Source organism: Homo sapiens, chromosome 19 (assembly GCF_000001405.40).
Source record: "Homo sapiens chromosome 19, GRCh38.p14 Primary Assembly".
NCBI lineage: Eukaryota > Metazoa > Chordata > Mammalia > Primates > Hominidae > Homo > Homo sapiens.
The window spans coordinates 30,279,009-30,300,061 of NC_000019.10; the positions used below are offsets into that span (position 1 = coordinate 30,279,009).

The 21,053-nt window shown below is 46.5% G+C and overlaps 1 protein-coding gene across 42 annotated transcripts in view; it reads left to right on the forward strand.

Moving 5' to 3' along the window:
* The window catches only part of ZNF536 (zinc finger protein 536), a 487,995-nt gene that overhangs the window by 53,417 nt on the left and 413,525 nt on the right, over nt 1–21,053 (forward strand). For 28 of the 42 annotated variants that reach the window (XM_011527554.3, XM_047439763.1, NM_001376110.1 and 25 more), the window contains exon 2: nt 5,064–5,133. The exons of 4 other annotated variants lie outside the window; for them this stretch is intronic. The gene's annotated coding sequence lies outside the window, so the exon portion shown is untranslated. Of the gene's footprint in view, nt 1–5,063; nt 5,134–15,443; nt 15,479–17,146; nt 17,236–21,053 lie in introns of all 42 variants that reach the window. 10 more of the 42 variants (XM_047439770.1, XM_047439779.1, XM_047439781.1 and 7 more) reach the window with 2 other exon arrangements.

Sequence of the window (21,053 nt, forward strand, 5' to 3'; positions counted from 1 at the left end):
TGTCTCAGCGCTCCTTGAATGCACCATCTCCATCCAACCTCAGGGCCTTTGCACTTGCTGTTCACTCTTCCTGTACCGCCGTTGCCCGCATTCTCGCAGGGCTCACTCCCTTACTTTATTCCGGTCCCTTGCCAGATGTTGCTTCCTTAGAGAGGTCTTCTCTGATTGTCACTGTCACTTCCTCCAGCTTTATTATCTTCTTAGAGATTGTTATTTGCTGGCATATTTTACTTTTGTCTTTCATTTGAATCTGGTCTCGGAAACATGAGCTCCATGCAGGTGGACACGATGTTTATCACTGGATCCCCAGAAATAGAATAGAGCCTGACTGCAGGGGTGCTGGGTGGATAATGGTTGAGTGAGTGGCTGATTCTCCGAGAGAAAGCTCCCTGGGAGCTTTCCACACCAGGACCCCCTTCCTGTTGGAAATCTGTAGCAACAATGGGTGTGTCATTTGGGGCCATGTTCATCCCCCAGCGTTGTCTGAGAAAGAGAGAATCACTCAGTGCTTGGAGAAAACTTCCAGATCCGGTTGGAGGAGCTGCGGTTTTTTGGTAGGGTCCTTGTTGCTAGTGGAACTTGAGAATATCAAGCTCTGGGCTGGGAGGAGGTCTCAGAACCATGGGAGGGAAGTTGCCAGCACCCAGGGGGTGCACACTGGAGAAGACGCTCTGTGTATCTTGGGACGCAGAGAGCCTGCTCTTGGTAGAGGGGGTTCCGAGGCATTGCTTGGGAGCCACTGCACTCAAGTGTCATCTGTGGGGAGACTTAGTTGGGCACCCAGCTGTTTCCCCTCTGGAGCTCTAAACCATGTCCTTCCCCGGGCAGAGGGCCGAAGGAGCCGGACTGGCTTTCTCTCCAAATCCTCCTTGCCCAACTCTTTTCTGGAAGGAAAGTAGTTTCCCTGGCTCCCAATTGCCACTCACTCAGATGCCTCCGCAGACAGCCCCTGCTCCTGCTGCCAGACCTCCCAGTGACCCATCCGGGGAAGGGCCATCCTGTGTCTCCCCAGGAATACACTCCACCTCCCGCAGGAGAGAATGGAACATGGGCCAGGAGGGGAAATTGAAGCAGCCCTCGCACCTTTCCTCCCAACCATCCGCCTCGCCTCCATCTGTCCATCTGCACTTTCATCCTTCCATCCGCCTCACCTCCATCCTTCCATCTGCACTTTCACCCTTCCATCTGCCCCTTTTCTTTCATCCTCCCTTCCACCTTCAGACCCTCTCTTTCCTCCTGCCCCCCTTACTTTTGTTTTCCCTCCCACTTCCATTTTTGCATCCATCTTCATCCTTCTCTCCTTCTCTCCTCCCTCTCTACTCTATCTTTCCTCCATCCTTCCATTCCCATCCTCCCGTCTGTTCTCCTTCCATCCTTCTGTCTTAACTTCCCTCCCCTACTCCCTCCCATCCACCTAGGTCCTCTGACAGAGGTGAGGGGCTGGAAGGAGAGTCTGACACCACCCTTTCCCCAAGTGCTGGACTGTCCTCTGCATGTGCCCGGGGTTTGCTGTGGCCTCAGTGATGGTGACATTCATTGCTGCTCTCATATCCTCCAAATTGTCATGGTGTGGGGTGGAGACAGGTGTGCACTGCCCACAGGCAGGAAACTCGCTGGCCTGGAGGACCGCTCTGTGCTAAACTCAGGGCCCATCTCAGAGCCATGGTGATGCTGGGGGTACCCCGTCTCTGCTCATCTCTTGACTGGCCAATCACTCTCTCCCTCAGAGCCCATGGGTCTGAGTCGGGCAGGCTGGGCTTTTGCTCAGGGAGGGTTTCTCTGGCTCCTTCAGGGCTCCTGTGTAGGCAGCTCTGGGACGATATGGGAGGGAGGAGGGTGCCTCATCCCCTGTGGGGAGCCCTTGTGGCCTCCTGCTTTGGTGGACAGAGGGGCCCGTGCAGGGCTAGCTTGTATGTCTGCGTTCAGCGGGGCTCATTCAGTGAACATGGCTGGGCTGCTGGGTGGGTCCTGCCTTGCCTGTGGAATTCACAGGGATGGGGGTGTGTGGACTTGGGGTAGGCCCACTGTGTGTCAGGATGGGTCAGAGCTGCCGAGGCACCTTCCACTTCCTCGCTTGGTTGGTGCCCCCCATATCTTCCTGTGCTCCCACTTCCCCTTTGAAGTCCCTCTCTCAGAACTTTCCACTCCTGCTCTTGTCTCCCCTTCCTCAGAGAGGCCTTGGAAGTACCTCTGGCTCTAGGAAGTCTCCCTTTCTCCCTCCTCGCTCCCCAGCAGCCTGCATCCCTGCTGTACTCCAGCCAGGGTCCACCCAGGAAATGGCCATTCAGCCTTCCCTTCTTTAGCCCCTGCAAACCTTCTCACTCCCCTTTCTGGAAGTTGCGGCCACTCTGTTGCACTTCTGTGCCCCTTCCTGGCCTCCAGCCCTGTCTCCACCAGGGCCCTGCCTGCACTTGCTTAAGGGCTTGACTCAACTCTGCCCCTCTCCTGGTGCCCTGCCTTTGATGTGCTCCTTGTCCTGGCAACCGGGACCTTCACACGATGGGTGGTATCTGATGGGCAGACCTGCTTGGCCCCTGACCTACCCCAGAGGCCCCAGTGCACCACAGGTGCTGGGAAGGGAGTCTCCAAGCCACTGAGTGAACAGGCCTCCTAAGCTCATCCATGTTGCTGGGGAGGGCTGCGTGGGAGCCTTATCTGTGCTTTAAGAGGGAAGCAGGAGCCATCAGTGTACAGCGAGTGGAATTTCAAGCACTGAAAACGCACCTGTGGAGGTTCCCTTATTTTGATGAGGTGGGGGCTACCCAACCCCCACTTAGTTCATACCATGCTTTTTGTCGCCTTTGCAATCTTCCCCTTCCCACCCCTACTCTGAGCTGCACCAAACTGGGCTCATGGACAGAGTCTCCTGGGTGGCCCCTCAGGTTGGGGTCCCTGTGGGGGACAGGGCAAGGGGAGGCCTCACGTCCAGGCTGCTTCTGGTTATGCCACTGACTGTGTTATGTCTAAATACAAGTCACTTACTTGCACCAAAAGAGCTGTTTCTTTCATTGAGGAAGACAGAATGACTCTGCTGGTGCTTCCCTTCCTCCCCACCCTGCATCACGAGAGCATCTGTGGTCAGATGGAGTCACCTTTCCCCGACCCGCAGTGACTGTAACAACATCAGACACCAGGAGCCTCCTCCTGTTTAGACTGGATCAGAAAGGCACAGATGGAACTAACTTGATTTCTTTTCCTAAGGGCCCAGTGAGGCTGTACTCGTCAGCTGCCCTACTGGCGTGTTGGGCTAACCTTGCCCACGCAGGTCAGACACCCTTGCATAAGCCCACTAATCTGTTGGAAGAGCACAGCCTCCAATGTAGCCACGAGGCTTGTGCTGGGCCCTTTCATGATTTAGAGCATAGAACCTGAGGGGTTTGTGCCCATCACTGCCCCGGTGCCAACTGCAGGAGACGGTGTTCTGATCAATGGCGTGAAGCTGGACAAACCGGTGTGGGACTTCCCCCGATGAAGACTCTCTGTGTTCTCCTGTCATTGGAATTTACAGGGCCTCTAAGTGAATGGCCCCTGGAGAATAGTCCTAGAATTTTGCAAGTCATGAGCTTAGATATAAAATCTGAGTGTGTCTCCCATCTCCTGCAACCCCCTCCCTAAACATAAGGAGGTCGTAGAGCAAAGCAAATAAGTGTTTTCAGAGCCGGCTGGGTGCTGGGGACCTGTTTAGCTCAGCGATAGGACAGAACTTTGGAAAGTGTAGCATTGGGCATTTGTTCCTCACTCCTTAGATTTTGAGTGACACGGGGAAAAAAACAAAAAAAAATGCAAAAGATCATCTGGTTCAGGGAAGAGAGAGAGACAGACAGACAGACACTGAGATGTAATTTCTTTCCGTGTTGGAGATGGTTGAGACATCAGGTTTTGCTTTATGTCTCAAGATAGGCAGGTAGAAATGTGTTTACAGACAGCAGCTTCCCTGTGGCACCCTGAGAAAACACTTTTCGAGCATGCAGTCAGCAAACACATTTTTGGTTGCCAGAAATCAGCCTTGGAGTTGAATGAAGTGTTGCAAGCCAGTGGTTCAATCAGTACAAACTTCTTCGGCTGGGGCTGCCACCAGTCCTACAAATGTATCTTCTGGTTTTCCATGGGCAGAATCAGATTTTCTGAATCCATAGCGAAATTCTACCTCTGTGATCAGAATTTACAACTTCACTTTCAGTAAAATATAATTTATTAAGGGAACTTATGTTTGCCCCATAACATCCCTTCCGTGACATGGCAAAACAAATGAGAATCCAAATTGCACTGGGTGAGGAGTGGGCTGGAGATCACAGGCTGGGGGCTGGCCTTCCTTGATTACCCCCTAGCCAGCAGCTCTGCATCCATCATAGATGAACATCCCAGCTTTCCTTCTTGTCCTTTATCACCTCTGAGCATGCCGTAGGAGGTGAGATCACCCATGTGGGACTTACATCAGTGATAAAACAGAATGAAGAAGTAGAAAATCTCACTGGCTGCTGCTTTCCTGGTCTGGGTTCGGGAGAGAGGACGTTGATGCCAAACACAACATCTCTAAGCCTCAGTCAGTTGCAGATTCCCATTCTGTATCCACTGGCTACCAAACAGGTTTGGCCAGTTGAAATTTGGGTGGAATTTTGGTCTACTGTAGAGGGCTCCATAAATCAATCAGGGAAAAAGCAAGGACCCTTGGGTACTTCTTCACTTTGAGAATTCTAAAGAAGAGAGACAGCGAGAGAGAAAGAGAGAGAGAGGGAGAGAGAGAGAGAGAGAGAGCCCTTATAATATTAGCTCCTATTTCTTCTGTCCCATATAGAGAAGATAAGAGATGGTTAGAAGTTCTTTTTGTGCAGGTGGCGATTTCCCACTGAAAACAAGCTGAGGAAATTTGGTTCATTGCAGCAAAGGTCACATAGTTCCCATTTTTTAAATTGCTCAAAGAATTGGGGGCAGTGGGGCTATTCAAGTTTTTTAGGCTCTCAACTAACCCAGCAAATTGTTACTTTGGATGAATGCTGTTTATGTGACTTACTGAAGTCGACTTATGTGACATTTACAGTTTCTAACAGGTCTTATTTTTGCAGTTCCTGACCACCACGGCTTTAAGAATATCCTTCAACCGGGAGGGAGATCCATTGCTTTAAGACTTGCCTGGTAAGGACCATCGATTTGTAGTTTGTTGAACTGGTGTCTGTCTGAGTTTGTGGGGAAGTCCAGGCTGCCTTCTCTGGGCTGCTGATCCCTATGCAGAGCTATGGAGAAACTTCCAGAGTCACAGGTGTCTGGGAGGTAGCATGGGTTCCATATCTTGTGGGCGGGGTGAACTACAATGTGGAGACATGTTCTTGAGTCTCTGAACAGGTTCCCCCATGAGGCAAAGCCCAACAAGGGTGACTTCTTTCTCTCTTGCGTGACACCCTGAGTCCCTATCTGCCAGCCAGCAGCCTGGAACCAGGGCTGAGAGCTGGTGGGGCTTTTGCTAAAGGCCGAGTGACCTCGTCCAAGTGCCACCTGTGGTCGGGCTCCCCATCACTCACCAGGTGACTCAGTGGCTTGGCCCAGTCTTGGACAAATCCTGTCCCAAAGCTGCTCCGTGTTTGTCACCTCAATCAGACTCCAGATTGCAAACTCCTGACGGGGTGTATTTCCGGCATGGGAGCTGATACAAACTTAAAATACAAAACAAAGGGTGACATATGTATTTGATATCTTTGGTGGCCTCATCTGAGGCTGCCCCTGATATCTCTGTTAACTCACCCTCGGTTGTAATTAGCCCAGCCCACCTTCTCCTGACCACACGTCTCAGAGGTCACTACATAAACCAGGGAAATTGATAGCAGAATTATGCACTCAGAAATTAATTTTATGTTGTACTGAATATATATTTTTTTTTATTGTGACTTTATCTTGCTGGAAAAGTGCTTACTTCTGATTTTGTGGATATTCCTGACCGTGGATTACTTTTATTTTGATTTTTACACAACAGTTATATTAGAAATTTGCTGTTTTATTCTTACCTTCTTAGTAAAAATCCTTTTATCACACAATGGGTAATTTATATCCATTACCAAGCCTTTCAATCCTTTTCAGTGGGGCTGTCAGTGCCGTTGGCACAGTAATGATTAATGTGATCTAATAATAGTGTACCATTATATTACCTTAGTAAAACATGTACCAACACCCTATTCCGATCTACCAAATTCATAGCTTCCTATAATATTTTTGTTGAAAGACAGGATTACTATTTTTCAAAGCTGATTTTTTCCCCTTTAACATATTTAATGAAATTCACAATTCTTTGCCTTAGTAATCCTGGGCATGTGACTGGGCTTGATGGGTGAACTCCACATCTGTAGGCCCTGTTGTGATTTGTCAGGAGAAAGGTCCAACCATCCCAGTGATCTGTCAGAGAGATTATTTTGTTTTTGTTGGGCCTGGATTGTTTTGCCTTAAAAAAGAAGAAAAAAAATTGTTGGGTTTCCAGTCCTTTCTGATGCATAATAAGGAAGGTGTGTTTTAGATTGAAAGGCAAAGTAGGAAGCAATTTGGTTTTTTCCTCCCCTCTGTCACCTGCTTCTGTCTGCCAGTGAATCGGAGGTATAGCCGAGCCAGTGGAAGTGGCTTTAAACCGCTTCCCCAGAAATGCCCCTCTCTGACCCATCCACTCCTCTAGCTGTGGCCAAGCCTCTCTGGGTCTGACATAGGGTCTTTCACATTTGGCATTATTGAAATTTTGGACTGGATAGCGATTGGTTGCGGGGCCCTCCCGTGCACTGCAGAATGTTTGCAACATCCCTGGTCTCTGCCCACTAGATGCTGATAGCATGCCTCCACCAACACTTCCTCCATTGTGACAATCAAAATAACTCCAGAAATCACCATATGTCCCCTGGGGGGCCCAATCATCTCTTGTTGGTCTAACCTATAGGAAAACGAGCAGATATTTTTGGCATGTCGGGGAATTCCTGTCAGAGTTCCAGAGTTCCATGGTGCTTTTTCGGAAGTCTTTGGCTTTGGGAGAGAAGATGTGTGGGTGAAGACGACGCAGGGCATCCTTTCCTTGGCTGAAATACAGCCCTCTTCCTCCTCTCTCCCTCCTCCTCTGCCATGAGCCTGGCCCGAGCGAGGGCCTGAATCTTAGCGTCTTCCACTTAAATCCCATTATAATCACGCTCATGATTGATAACATTCCACCTTTTCAAAGGGCTTTAAAATCTGTGTCAACCAAGGATGACATTATTGTAGTGCGGGCGAGATGTATTCAAACAATTACACGCTCAAATCAAAGTGGGAAGTTTTGTCCTTCTATCTCGGCGCCTTTGTGTGATGTGGCTTCAGCCAGCACCACAGTCCTCACAGCCCCAGAGACCTTCAACAGAAAAATAAATGGGAAGAAACAGGTTTTGCCCTTGGTACCATTCAGCTTGGAAGGCAGCTTGAGTATTTGGGCTCCTTAGGGCTAGAGGGTGGGGGAGCAAGGAGAGATTGTTGAGCATAGGAGAGAGAGAGAGACAGACAGAGAAAGAGAGACAGAGACAGAGACAGAGAGAGAGAGAGAGAAAGAGAGAGACCGAGAGAGACAGAAAGACAGACAGAGAGAGAAAGAGAGAGAGAAGGAGAGAGACAGAGAGAGAGAGAAATCCTTGTTTTTGATTTGGAACAAAAACTACTGCTGCAACTTTGGCTCGAAATATGCAATCAACTGAAATCAGGAAAAGTATTTTGAATACAAAATTTATATTGAAATACTTGAATCTTGATACGTGTGCACCCACATACATGTATATATTTAAATCAAGGATATAGATAATGAGGAATAAAGCTTCTGTCATAAAAATATTGCCTGCAGTATTTGCCCTTAGATAATTCTGCCACATTGGAATACAGTTTTGTACTGTTAACATTTCCATATGAGACACTCTTGCTTGTTTTTACAACTGATCCTTGATGATAACAGCAAATGAGGAAATGGCTCTGATTTACCTTTGTGTTAGGAAGATTTGGAATCCATCGTGTTATTTGGTGCAGGAAGCATTTTAGTGACCTACTCCTTTACTGGTTTCTGGTCTGTCTCTCCTACTGCGACGTAAGAGTGGTGAGGGTAGGGGCTTATGTGTTTTGTTCCTTGTGATTTCCTCAGTTCCTGAAATGGTGCCTGATGCACAATAGCTTCTCAATAAAGCTTTGGTGACTAGATGGATGGATGGGAGGATGGATACATAGATGGGTGGATGGATGGATAGATGGGTGGAGGGGTGGGTGGGTAGGGTGATGGATGGATGGATTGATGAATGGATGGCTGGATGGATGAGTGGACGGATGAATAGATGAGTGGATGGGTGGGTGGGTAGGTGGGTAGATGGATGGGTGGATGGGTGGGTGAATGGATGGATGCATAAATAAATGGATAAATGAATGGATGGATGGATAGATGAATAGACGGATGGATGGGTGGATAAATGGGTGGATTGATGGAGGATGGATAGATGGATAGATGGGTGGATGGATGAATAGATGGGTGGGTGGATGGATAGATGGGTGGTTGGATGGGTGGGTGGATGGGTAGATAGATGAATGGGTATATGGATGGATGGATGGATGGATAGATGGATGGATGGGTGGATGGATGGGTGGGTGGATGGATGGGTGGGTGGATGGATGGGTGGGTGGATGGATGGGTGGGTGGATGGATGGATGGATGGATGGATGGATGGATGGATGAGTGGATGGATGGGTGGGTGGGTGGCTGGATGGGTGGGTGGATGGATGGATGGATTGATGGATGGGTGGATGGGTTGATGGGTGGATGGGAGGATGGATGGATGGTGGATGGATGGATGGATGAATGGATGAGTGGGTGGATGGATGGGTCTCTATCTCAAGCCCTAACATGTACCTTAGAATATTGGGCTCATTGATCCAAATGAAATCTCACTTTTACCATCTATTCATTCATTGGCCTCCCAAACATTTTTTGAAACCTTTATTTTCAAAATCTAATGATCAGTTATAACAAGGCATTTTCTTTTAGTCTAGTGTTTTAAAATGGAAAAACTATGTCTAGAACTGTGCTAGGCAACCTCTGTGAACTGAAAACCACCCTGTTATAAAAATGTCTTTAAAAATCCACAAGGGCACATACACAGATGACTGGGACTGAAGGCGTGGAGGTCACGTAGGCGAAGATGATCTCTTTCAAAGTAGGATGTGGATGAGGGATTTATGAGGCTGAAAGGACTTCCTGCCCACGTGACTGGATGTCCGTCTCCTGGGCAAACCTCTGCAATCTGCACTATATTCCATGTTCTTCTGGAGATTTTTGTGTGTCCTCTTCAGCCCTGCCATGACTTGGTCTCTGTGGGACTTGCCACTGCTCAGTCCTATTAGGTCAGCTGTCTTGAGGGGATAGGCTGAGGCTCTGGGGAGTGGGGTTCCCAAGTTCTGGCATGGTGTATGCAATGTACCCATCTATTGGAAAACTTATTCTCAGTGATAAGAGTGGTCCAAGTTACCTCACCTTGACTTTTAAACTATAGTACCATGGACATCATAGCAGTACCAGTGAGAATGTACTGAAGAAAAAAGATAAATGACCTCTCTGTCTGACAATGCATAGCAAAGGTATAGGCTTTGGAAGCAGATTTCCTGGGTTGGAACCCTGGCTCCACCATTCAGTAGCTGTCTGACCCAGTGTCAAGGAACTTGCACCTCAGTTTTCTCATCTGTAAATTGGGAACAACATGACAGTCTGGTAGATTACACTGTGTGATGCACTTAAAACACTGCCTGGTTCAAAGTAGGCATTTAGTACAAGCATGGCACCGTTGTTATTTTCATTTCCTCTATTCCATCATCCTTCCCCCTTTCTCCATCTTTATTCAAGATTAATGAAAATGTAGGCCATTTTCAGATAATTAGGCTTTTCCTCTCAGTCTCATACCAGTGCTAGGAACCCCAAGATGTTGCTAGGCATGTGGTCTTTCCAGCATCCCTTGGGACCTTGGTTAGCAAGTTCAGAGAATGTCAGAAAGGGTGGTGAGTTTCCTAAGCCAACTTCTCCATCCCATTCCTTTGTGAAGGAGCATTGTTGACACATCACTGGGGGCTTGGGATTTGCTTGGTGTTTGGAGAACGCATTCTGAGATGGATGCCACGTGGTCATGGTGGGTGGGTGGGGACAGCCAGCCCTTAAAAGGGAGGGGAGGCCTGTGGTTTTTCTCCTCCACCCCCTCACAAATGAGACTGTTTTCCACCATGGCCCGGTTTTATATTTTTAGCTTCCACTGAAATTTAATGTTTTGTTTTTGGTTTATTATGTATGCAAGTATCTTGCTGATAAATTACATGTGTAATTGTACCATCGTAACCACTGCTAGTCAGCGACAACATATAATTAAACTCACCCTTGTAGTCATTGAACTTTTCTGTCCCTGACAAGATCACTGACCACTCCAAGGAGGGCATACCTCCACGTATGAGCCATGCGAGTGCCTGAGAGGCCGGACCACCCCGGGGGCCCCCGTGCTTTCCTGCACATGTGCACAGGCCGACTTCCCCTGGATGGCCACACATGGGATGCAAGGGTTAGCTCATGAGGCCCAGGGGTGCTTCTCTCTTTATTTCTGTGTCTATGCCTGGATGATTATTGGCTCCAGAGTGGGTGCCTGGTAAATACTTTTGTGAGTGAATTGGAATTTTCTTCAGTCGCCTCTGAGCCCTCTTTTCTCATATGACCCCCAATGCCTATCCCGCTCATTTTTTAGGGGTGTTTGTTACGTTGCTCTTATGCCTCTATGCCAAGGCTACAGCCTGTGAGTCACATCCAGCACACTGCCTGTGTGTGTTGGGTTTTTTGTTTTACATTTAAAAATTTAAAATAATTGCGATAAAATACACATAATATAAAACTTACTATCTTGACCATTTTAAAGTTTAGAGTTCAGTGGCATTAAATAGTTACATCACTGTGCAACTGTCACCACCTCCCATCTCTAGAACGTTTTGAAACGGAAACTCTATACCCATTAAATAACTCCCCATTCTCCCTACCCATTCCAGGTCGTGGCATCCACTATGCACCTGTCTGTCTCTGTGAATTTGACTACTCTAGGTACTTTATATAATGGAACCATATAGTATTTAACATTTTATGACTGGCTTATTTTGTTTAGTCGAATGTCCTCAAGGTTCATCCATATTGTGGCCTGTGACAGAATTACCTTCCCTTTTAAAGCTGAAAAAGATTCTGCTATACAGTATGTATATACCACATTTTATTTTACTTTTTGTTCGCTTTTCTTTTATTTTGGGACAGGATCTTACTTTTGTTCTCCAGGCTGGAGTGCAGTGGCATGATCATAGCTCACTGCAGCCTTGAACTCCTGGGCTGAAGTGATTTTCCTGCCTCAGCCTTCTGAGTAACTGGGACTACACGTGCACACCACTACTAATTTAAAAATTTTTTTGTAGATATGGGATCTTTCTATGTTGCCCAGGCTGCACTTGAACTTCTGGGCTCGAATCATCTGCCAGCCTCAGCCTCCCAAAGTGCTGGGATTACAGGCATGAGTCACTGCACCCGGCCCCCTATGTTGTTTATCCACTCACCCATCAATAGACACTTGGGCTGCTTCCACCTCATCACTCTTATGAATAATACTGCTGTAAATGTGGGTTTATATGTTTCTTTTTTAAAAAATTTTACTTTAAGTTCTGGGATACATGTGTAGAATGTGCAGGTTTGTTACATAGGTACACATGTGCCATAGTAGTTTGCTGCACCCATCAACACATCATCTAGGTTTTAAGCCCTGCATGTATTAGGTATTTGTCCTAATGGTCTCCCTCCCTTTGCCCCCCACCCACCAACAGGCCCTGGTGTGTGATGTCCTGCTCCCTGTGTCCATGTGTTCTCATTGTTCAACTCCCACTTATGAGTGAGAACATGTGGTGTTTGGTTTTCTGTTCCTGTGTTGTTTGCTGAGAATGATGGTTTCCAGCTTCATCCATGTCCCTGCAAAGGACATGAACTCATCCTTTTTTATGGCTGCATAGTATTCCATGGTGTATATGCACCACATTTTCTTTATCCAGTCTATCATTGATGGGCATTTTGGTTGGTTCCAAGTCTTTACTTTGTAGATAGTGCTGCAAAAAATATATGTGTGCATGTGTCTTCATAGTAGAATGATTTATAATCCTTTGGGTATATATCCAGTAATGGGATTGCTGGGTTAAATGGTATTTCTGGTTTTAGATCCTTGAGGAATTACCACACTGTCTTCCACAATGGTTGAACTAATTTACACTCCTACCAACCATGTAAAAGCATTCCTATTTCTCCACAGCCTCGCCAGCATCTGTTGTTTCCTGACTTTTTAATGATCGCCATTCTAACTGGTATGAGATGGTATCTCTTCGTGGTTTCAATTTGCATTTCTCTAATGACCAGTGATGTTGAGCTTTTTTTCATATGTTTGTTGTCTGTATAAATGTCTTCTTTTGAGAAGTGTCTGTTCATATCCTTCACCCACTTTTTGATGGGTTTGTTTGTTTTTTTCTTGTAAATTTGTTTGGGCCTATATGTTTCTTCAAGACCCCACTCTTAATTCTTTTGGGTGGAATTGCGGGATCTATGGTAATTCCATGTTTAATTTTTTGTGGAACTGCCATACTGTTTTCCATAGTGGCTGCACCATTTGGCATTTCTGCCAGCAGCGTGCCAGGCCTCCACTTCTTCCACACCCTTGCCAGCACTTGTTTTTTCCATTTTTATGCTAGCAGCCATCTTCATGGGTGTGCAGTGGCTCTTAGTATGGTTCTGCCTGTTCTCATATGGCCTATGATCTAAGAGTGGCTTTTCCATTTTTATATGATTGAAAAAAATCAAAAGAAAAATAATATTTCGTGATACCGGGACATTGTATGAAATTTAAATCTCAGGGCCCATAATAAAGTTTTATTGGCATGCAGGCACTCCTATTTGTTTATATGTTGTCTGTGGCTGCATTGACACTACAAAGGCAGAGTTGGGTAGTTGAGACAGAGACTGTGTGGCCCGCAAAGCCTAAAATAGTTACCACCTGGCACTTTATGGGAAACCCTTGCCAATCCTGCCCTATGGTAAGTGTTATATGCTTTATCTGTTTAACCTCCTCTCTAATCCATTTTGCAGACACAGAAACTGAGGCTCAGCAAAGATAAGTAACTTGTACAAGTCACATGTTACCTAACCAGGACACATGTACCTGTCTGTGTGACTCCAAATCTTGCACTCCTCACTACCATATTAAATGAACAAAATCATTTGAAGATTGCTGTTTCTAGGGAACTGTTTTTTTTTTTTCTCTTTTTCTTCTTTTTTTTTTTGAGACAGGGTTTCACTGTTGCCCAGGCTTGAGTGCAGTGGTGTGATCACTGCAGCCTTGACTTGACTTCCTGGGCCCAAGCCATCCTCTTGTCTCAGCCTCCCAAGTAGCTGGGACTACAGGCATGCACCATCACACTACTTTGTTTGTATTTTTTCGTAGAGACACGTTTCCCAGGCTGATCTTGAACCACTGACCTCAAGCGATCCTCTCACCTTGGCCTCCCAAAGTGCTAGGGTTATAGGCATGAGCCACTGCTAGGCCTCTAGGGGACTTCTTTGGGTGTTTTTAGTAAGCCTGAGGTCAGGTCCTAGTTGAGAAAAAAAAAATTGTAATTATACAAAGATGTGATGTTGTCTTTGGGAGAGGAAGCCAATTGAGGGAGAGAATGAAGATGGAAGGAGATGTTAGGTGAGCTAAGCTTTCCTTTATTTCTTATGTTGAAATTCTAAGACCCACGCCTTATGTTGCATGGCAAGATGAGCTTTCAACTCTAAGAAGGAGATAGTTTTAGGATGCAGGCATGTCAACACGCACAGGATTTCCTCAGGATTAGAAGAAAAGCCAAACCAATCAATAACTTCTTCTTGCATTAAAACAGTGAATTATTTCCATAACCGAGAGGAAAGTAAGCCAGGGTCTACAAGGGAAGCTGTTGATTGATTCCTTCTCCTTCATTCTTTGGATCGCATGTTGTTTGGGGTGAATCGTAGTGTAGATACCTTTGGCCCACCCCAACACATTTTTCCCCAAATGTAAAGATCTGCTCTCCCATCTCCCAGAGGCTGTCTTGGGCACTCCTTTTGCCTCTCGGGCTCTGATGGTCAGTGGGTTCGTTGTTACTGATGAGGGAGTGGTTAGTTCTCTCTCTCTGCCTCCTCCCCTTCTCGCCACCCTCTCTGTCCACCAGGATGTGTGGACTTGGTACCAGGAACCTTCTGATATTTCTTGATACAGAGGACAAAGCGTGGATAGTTATTTGTTCTTTCTTCCACGGGAGAAAAGTCTTAATTGATTTTACATATTTCTGTGCATTATGGAAATCACCCATCAGTCCCAAGTACTTAGGGGATGTTGGGGGCTGCAGGAAATGGCTGGTCTTGCGTCTATCTCAGGCAAAGAGATTGTGGTTCTCCTTTTATGTTTGGGAATGCACGACATTCCCCCCGCCTGCCAGCCCCCAGTAACTACTGTATTTCAACAATAGGCTTCACGCGGCTGCAGTGTGAGGCACAACAGTGGTTTTCATGAACTTTTGGCTGTGGTTTAGGCCTGGCAGAGCTGGACTCTTACCCTTAGAGTTTTCTGGCTCGATTCATTTTGCACAAAGGAAAGTACGATAATCGGAGTTGCAGGATGATAATGTGATCGGCATGTTAGCACATTGCAAGAAAGACAGAAATGACTTTGGAGTTTGCATTTCATCCTTGAAAATGTGCAGCGCTGCCTGAGCCAAGGGGCTTGTACTTAGTAGGTGCTTGCTAAATACTGGAAGAAGGGGTGAGGGTGGCAGTTGCTTTGTGCCTGAGAAGAGGCAGGAGAAGTATGTGATAACCTATGCCCATACATTTTGGAAATAGGGATAGCTATTAGATTTTTTTTTTCCTGTTTAAAGATGAAGTTTGGGTCTTGACCTGGTGTTGGTCTCTGCCTGCCTGGTTGCCCAGCAGGTGGTGGTAACATGGCCACAAATTCATTTGACCTTGAGTTCCCTGACTCTTCTACTCCGACGGTCCCTGTCTTTCACTATCTCTTGCCAATGAGCAGCTAAGCATTTATTGAGGGTCCCTGTGCTCAGCTCTAGAGGGTGGGGTGTGGCCCCCAACACAGAGGAGCTTGCTGCCCAGAGGAGAGGGAGTTTTAGCTGGGGAGGTAGAGGCACGTGTATTTGCTGAGGTGGCCGTGAAGGGGTGCATGTGTTGAATTTTCCCTACCCCCAAGTCATTTTTATTTTCTTCCTGCAATACTGCAAGAAAATAATAAAGTTTTTCTAATGTGGATGTGTGTGTATTATTTCATGTCTGAAAACAGTTAATAGTACAAAATGATGCTCTTGAGTGAGCTGAACTCAACAGAATAATTTTTATTCCTCAACAGAATATAACTTGAGACAATATTGACAGTTAAAAAATGTAAGTATGGCATATGTGGGAATCATTCACCAAATTTCTGTTTCTCCTCTCTAGGCCCCAATATGTGTGTGTGTGTGTGTGTGTGTGTGTGTGTGTGTGTGTGTATTTAAACATGACTTCAATGTTTTTAGAAATGTGACATCCTAAATATGATCAGGTCTCCAGTAACAAGACAGTGGGTGGCCAATGCCCCCATGAGTGGCAGACTCCCTAGAGAAGGTTTTGGAAGTTTGCGGAATTCTTACAAGATACACCTGCCCTGACCCTCCAAACTCAACTCCTGCTTCCTTAGGTGGGGCGCACTCCTCCCTCTACTCCTACAGGGACTGAAGGCTGAGAGAAGCTTGTGAGGGAGGTTGAGGCAGGCATGCATAGATGGAGGCTGCATAGGTGTGGGAAGGAGTGCTGCTCTTGGAGTGAGGAGGCTGGTTCTGATGTCTATCTGCAGTCCTCAGCCTGGGTGACATTGGAGAGCCTCAGGCCATTGCAGCTGCAGGCTGCTACCTGAAGGGTGGGTGTCTAAGCTTCTTTGTAGGTCTTAAACAGAATGACCTAGACCAGGGTGTCAGGAATGTACACACAGAGCCCTGGGGGTCTTGGTAGCATGCAGATTCTGATTCAGCACATCTAGGGGAATGAGATTCTGCATACTTAACAGGCTCCCAAGAGATGCTGATGCTGCTGGTCCTTGGACCACACTTTGAGTAGCAAGAGACTAGAGGGATAATTCTCAAACTTGGCTATCAATTATAACAACACAGGGAGCTTTTAAGACCCGCCAATGTCTAGGTCTGCTCCCAGGCCAATCAAATCAGGACTTGCCCTACAGGAAACAGTGTGATTGGAGGCGGGGGTGGGGAGGTTGTCTGCTGGCTTGTAGCCAAGGTATGAACGGCTGGGGTAGTGTCGTGGATCTCCAACTTGGGCAGGTGTCAGAATTGCGTGGAGGGCTTTGAAAAAACAACATTGGGCCCCAACCCACATTTTCAGATTCAGAAGGTCTTGGGTATCGTCCAAGAATTTGAATTTCTAACAAATTTCCAGGCAATGCTGTTTCTGCGGCCCCAGGGACTCTGCTTTGAGAACCACTGGTCTAATGTAATCCCCTCCCAGTGGATATTCATGAAGCAGAAACCTCCAGGGAGTGGGAGCTGGGGGCTCCAGGACACGCAGAGCCCTGCCTCTGGGGTCATTCCGTGCACATCTGTTTTACACAGTGAGCAGCCTTGGAAAACTTTCACTTGAAAAAAATGTGGGTAGAAAAAAATGTTTGAAAACCTCTGAAGCAAAGGCAAGACTTTTAATCATGGGAATGGTGAATGTTCATTCTTTAATTGAGGGGCAAAGCAGGCAGGATCCTTGGTCCCTCTTGTTGCCAGATGTGGCCGTGTTTGCTCCTAGTACTGCCCTGTCCTGCAGGAGGTGTTTTCCATGCTGAACTCCTGGCTCCCTCTTGCATATAAGAGTTCACACCTGTCCAGAGGCCTCCATGGGGCCCAGACCAGTGTCGGGCAGGGCAGGTTAGCTTGCGGGGAAATCCAATGTGTGCAGCTGCTAGCACCTAATGACTGTGTACTGGGCTTCAAGCACCGTGCTCATTTATATGCATGATCTTATTTAATTCTGTAGTGACCTCATATAATAAGTACTGTCATTATCCCATTTCAGAGATGAGTATTTGATGCTACCTTCCAGACTGACAGTGTCCAGGAAAGCAGCTGCAGTGGAGGTGGAAGGGCAGTAGGATTCCCTGATTGGTAAGGGCAGTGGAATGTCATGGGGAAGACTTTGTCCTTGTTGGTGTCTTGGGAAGAGAGCAGAACAGTGCCCTGTCAGCCCTGCAGGTCCCAGAACCCACTACCTGGGCCAGGTGACAGAACTCAGAGCCTTTGGCTGCTTCAGGAGATGTCACCATGGCTGTCTCTTCTTGGTCAAAGTTCCAGTTGGCCAAGACATCCTGGGGAAAATGGGCAGGGAGGTTCCTCCTGGGTGAAACCCTTTTGTATGGCTCTTGACAGTGCAGAGGGGTCTGGGAGGAGATTCTGTGAACTAGCCGGGGTGAAGGGTGGGTGGATCTCTCCAGGGCTCAGGTCCTGTTTCTGTGGCTGCCATCTCTAACCATGGAAGGCTGGCTTGGACAGCTCTCAGCTTGCTCTCTACCCCCAGGGAGCCTAAAATGTGTCCAAAGCTGCAGGTTTTTGCTGAGACATCATGCAAAAGCTGGTTCTTCTCCCTGGTCACCTAATGTGCTTGGGGCAGAGGCTGCGAGCCTTCTGGTTGGAGGAAGGGAGGCACAGATGGGTGTGTGGTCTTCCAAGCAGCATCTAGGTCCTTCTGGTGGCCAGGGGATGGCAGCATCCTTTCGCCCTCATGGGAGCCACCCTCTGTCACCTGTGTATTTCCCTGGGTTCCCTTCATGGGACTTGGGCCTCGCCTCCGTATTTACAGCTGATGTTGGCAGTGGAGAGGGGAAGGTGAGAGTAAAACTTCCAGAAGAAAAGCTTCCTATGAGGTGTTTGAGATGCTCCACGATCAGGCACGAGGCCCCAGCCAGGGAAGACCCTTCCAGTGGCCAGAACGGTGCTGCTTCCCCTGTACCTAAAACATCTCCCTCCTCCTCCAAGAGATTTTCAAAAGAGTCTTGAAGCTCAGTCCGACTGCAGCCCAAGCATCTGCCCTTCACTTCCATCTTCAACTTAAATGAGATGCATTTAAGGAAAGGCTGGCCTGGAAACTACTGTGATCAGTACCAGGCACCTTTTTCCTGAAGTCCTTTTACATCTAAAAAAGGTTCATATGGTTCATCACCATATAATCCCTTCGTATGCCTGGAAATGGTACGTGGGGGAAAGTTTACATCCAGTTTAACAGAATTTCTACTTAAGTGCTTTTTTTAATGGCCCACGTTTGATCTTAAGCCACTTCTTTTTGAACCCTTGAAGGTTTTATTACTGAACTTTAAAAAGAACATTCAATTCAGAGGGCTGGCATGTTCTTGAATGGAGCTGCATTTTGAAAGAAGGGAGATGAATTTCTTTCCCCAGCAGAGACACAGGTGTCACCTATCAAGGGTGGTCAGAACTCTATTTTTTCCTCAGTGTAGCACCAGGATGTAGTGACTTTCTCTCTTTGAAGGACTAGGCATGCAGATATTATTGTTAGGATTTGTAGAAATGATGGCCGCTCGAGTAAACGAGTGGCCAGGAGCTGGGGGTGGAAATTCTCCCACAGGTAGCCCTTTCTCAAGACTAAATGAACATCCCAGGCAGTGAACCTGCCTGTATTGTTATGCATGTGTATAGCATGGGAGCTTGGGCGCCAGGCAGCAGGAGCCCCCTGGATTTGCACCGTGCCCTTTATGAGTTAAATTTTCCCCACAAACTTCATGCCTTTTTTTTTTTTTTCTCAAGACGGAGTCCCCCCCCCCTCTGTCGCCCAGGCTGGAGTGCAGTGGTGCGATCTTGGCTCACTGCAGTCTCTGCCTCCCAGGTTCAAAGGATTCTCCTGCCTCAGCCTCCCGAGTAGCTGAAATTATAGGCGCGTGCCACCATGCCCGGTAATTTTTGCATTTTTGGTAGAGATGGGGTTTCATCATATTGGTCAGGCTGGTCTCGAACTCCTGGCCTTGTGATCAGCCCGTCTTGGCCTCCCAAAGTTCTGGGGTTACAGGTGTGAGCCACCTCGCCTGGCCTCATGCCCTTCTTTAAGGAATCCCACCGGGTCCTCTACAGTACCCTCTTCCCTTTAGAATAGCGGGCTAATTCCAGGTGCCCATTAGAAATTCAAGATGTATCACCACATACTCTGACTCAAGACCCTTGGTTGCAACTGGACCATAGGAGGTATGCCCAGGATGTCCCCCTGTGGCTCACACCCCATCACCAGCTGTGCAGAGGCACCATACCCTGTCTTTGCTTTGCCATACAGTGCAGAGGATGTGCAACCAAGAACAGGTCTCTTGATGACCATTTGCGTGGGAGTTTCCTAATGCTGGTAGCGTTGGGGTCAGAATCTTTACAGCATCCTGGGCTGTTGAAAGATCTTTGTCAACTGCAGAAGAACGGTGTGCTGACTCCTTCATCCTGTCTCACACCAAAGAAACTTTTTTGGTATCTAGGAGACTTGAGACCAAGGAATACATTATAGCGATGGTTTCAGGATTGCTGGGAGAATCTGTTTCAGGTGTAGGTTCCCATTCCCCATATCTGCAGGTATGCCAGTCTGGGAAGGAACCTGGGAATCTTCGTTTCTCCCAGTCTCCTTTGGCAATGCCAGTGGGCCTGGAATTATAGTAACACTAAACCTAAATTTTAGTGGGTGGACCTCAGAAGGCTGGATTCTGGAAGCTTCTTACTTACTTCTCAGCTGCAAGACTTTGGGTCAAACATTTTTGAGCTCTGTTTTCTTACCCGTAAGAGAAATTGGCCCTATATGACTTCTAAGAGTCCCTCCAATTCTGAAGTTGTAGCACATTAAAAATAATCTGCATTTTAGGCCTGGCAGGTCACATTCCCTGCCAAAGGGGGGGCCTGGGAAAGAAAAAGACTCTACAATGTGAAAGTGTGGGCTTCGTGGTATGAGGCCAAGTTTATAAAGGTAGCCTCTGTGAAAGAATCATTTGTATTTATTGAAATCACTGATTTTAATCACCTTGGATGCTCCCTTGATAAAAATTATAATCCTCTGTAAATTATGAATACCTTGAAATTCACAAATTCTATCACTTTTGTGATTGGCAACATTAAATGGCAACAGCTCATTTAAATAAGCAACATCTGGACATTATTATTTTTAGGGATTTTTCATCTGTTGATTTAGAAATCTGGGGCCTTTATGAATCTTGCATGAATATTCTTTTATATTCACATCTACCATCAAGACACAAAGGGATAGCCAAAAATATTGTCCAGTGACTCTTTGATGCAATGAATGTGTTTTTTAAACAACAAATCCATTGTGAATGAGAGAAGATATAAAATAGGCTGCCTGTGAGGGTAGGTGGTGGGGGTAGCTTGATCCTTCAAAAGCCAGAAGAGTCCAGCAATTCAAAGCCACAGTGGGGAGAAGGTTTAGATTTTATATATAATAATATAAAATTTTAAGATCACAATATGATTTTGGACTGATGATATTGGAATATGGCATTCACTAGTTCTCAGAATAATCCAATTTAGAACAATGCATTCTGAGCAGGTTTGGTAAAAATAGAAGATCTATCATCCCATGGTATAAGATAATGCATTAATTTTTATGAGTGAGTTATGAAGATGTACAACTCGGTTAAGAGTTAGGATAAACATAATATTCCTTAATTAATCCATTATGCCATGGTACACATGTGCCATTTTTATTACCTTAAAAATGAAATATGTCAAAAAAGGAAATTGCTGCTTTTTTATATCAAAAAAGCCTTTTTTGAAAAATCATAAAATGCCTAATCTAATTCACCATATAATACTAATGAGCTTAACAAGCCATCTCGATGCACAGTTTAGGATAAAAGGTCATCAGTTTCTGGCAGTCAAATTCCACTACTTTTCAGACGAGGCAAAACCTTTCGGCACCAAATATTGGA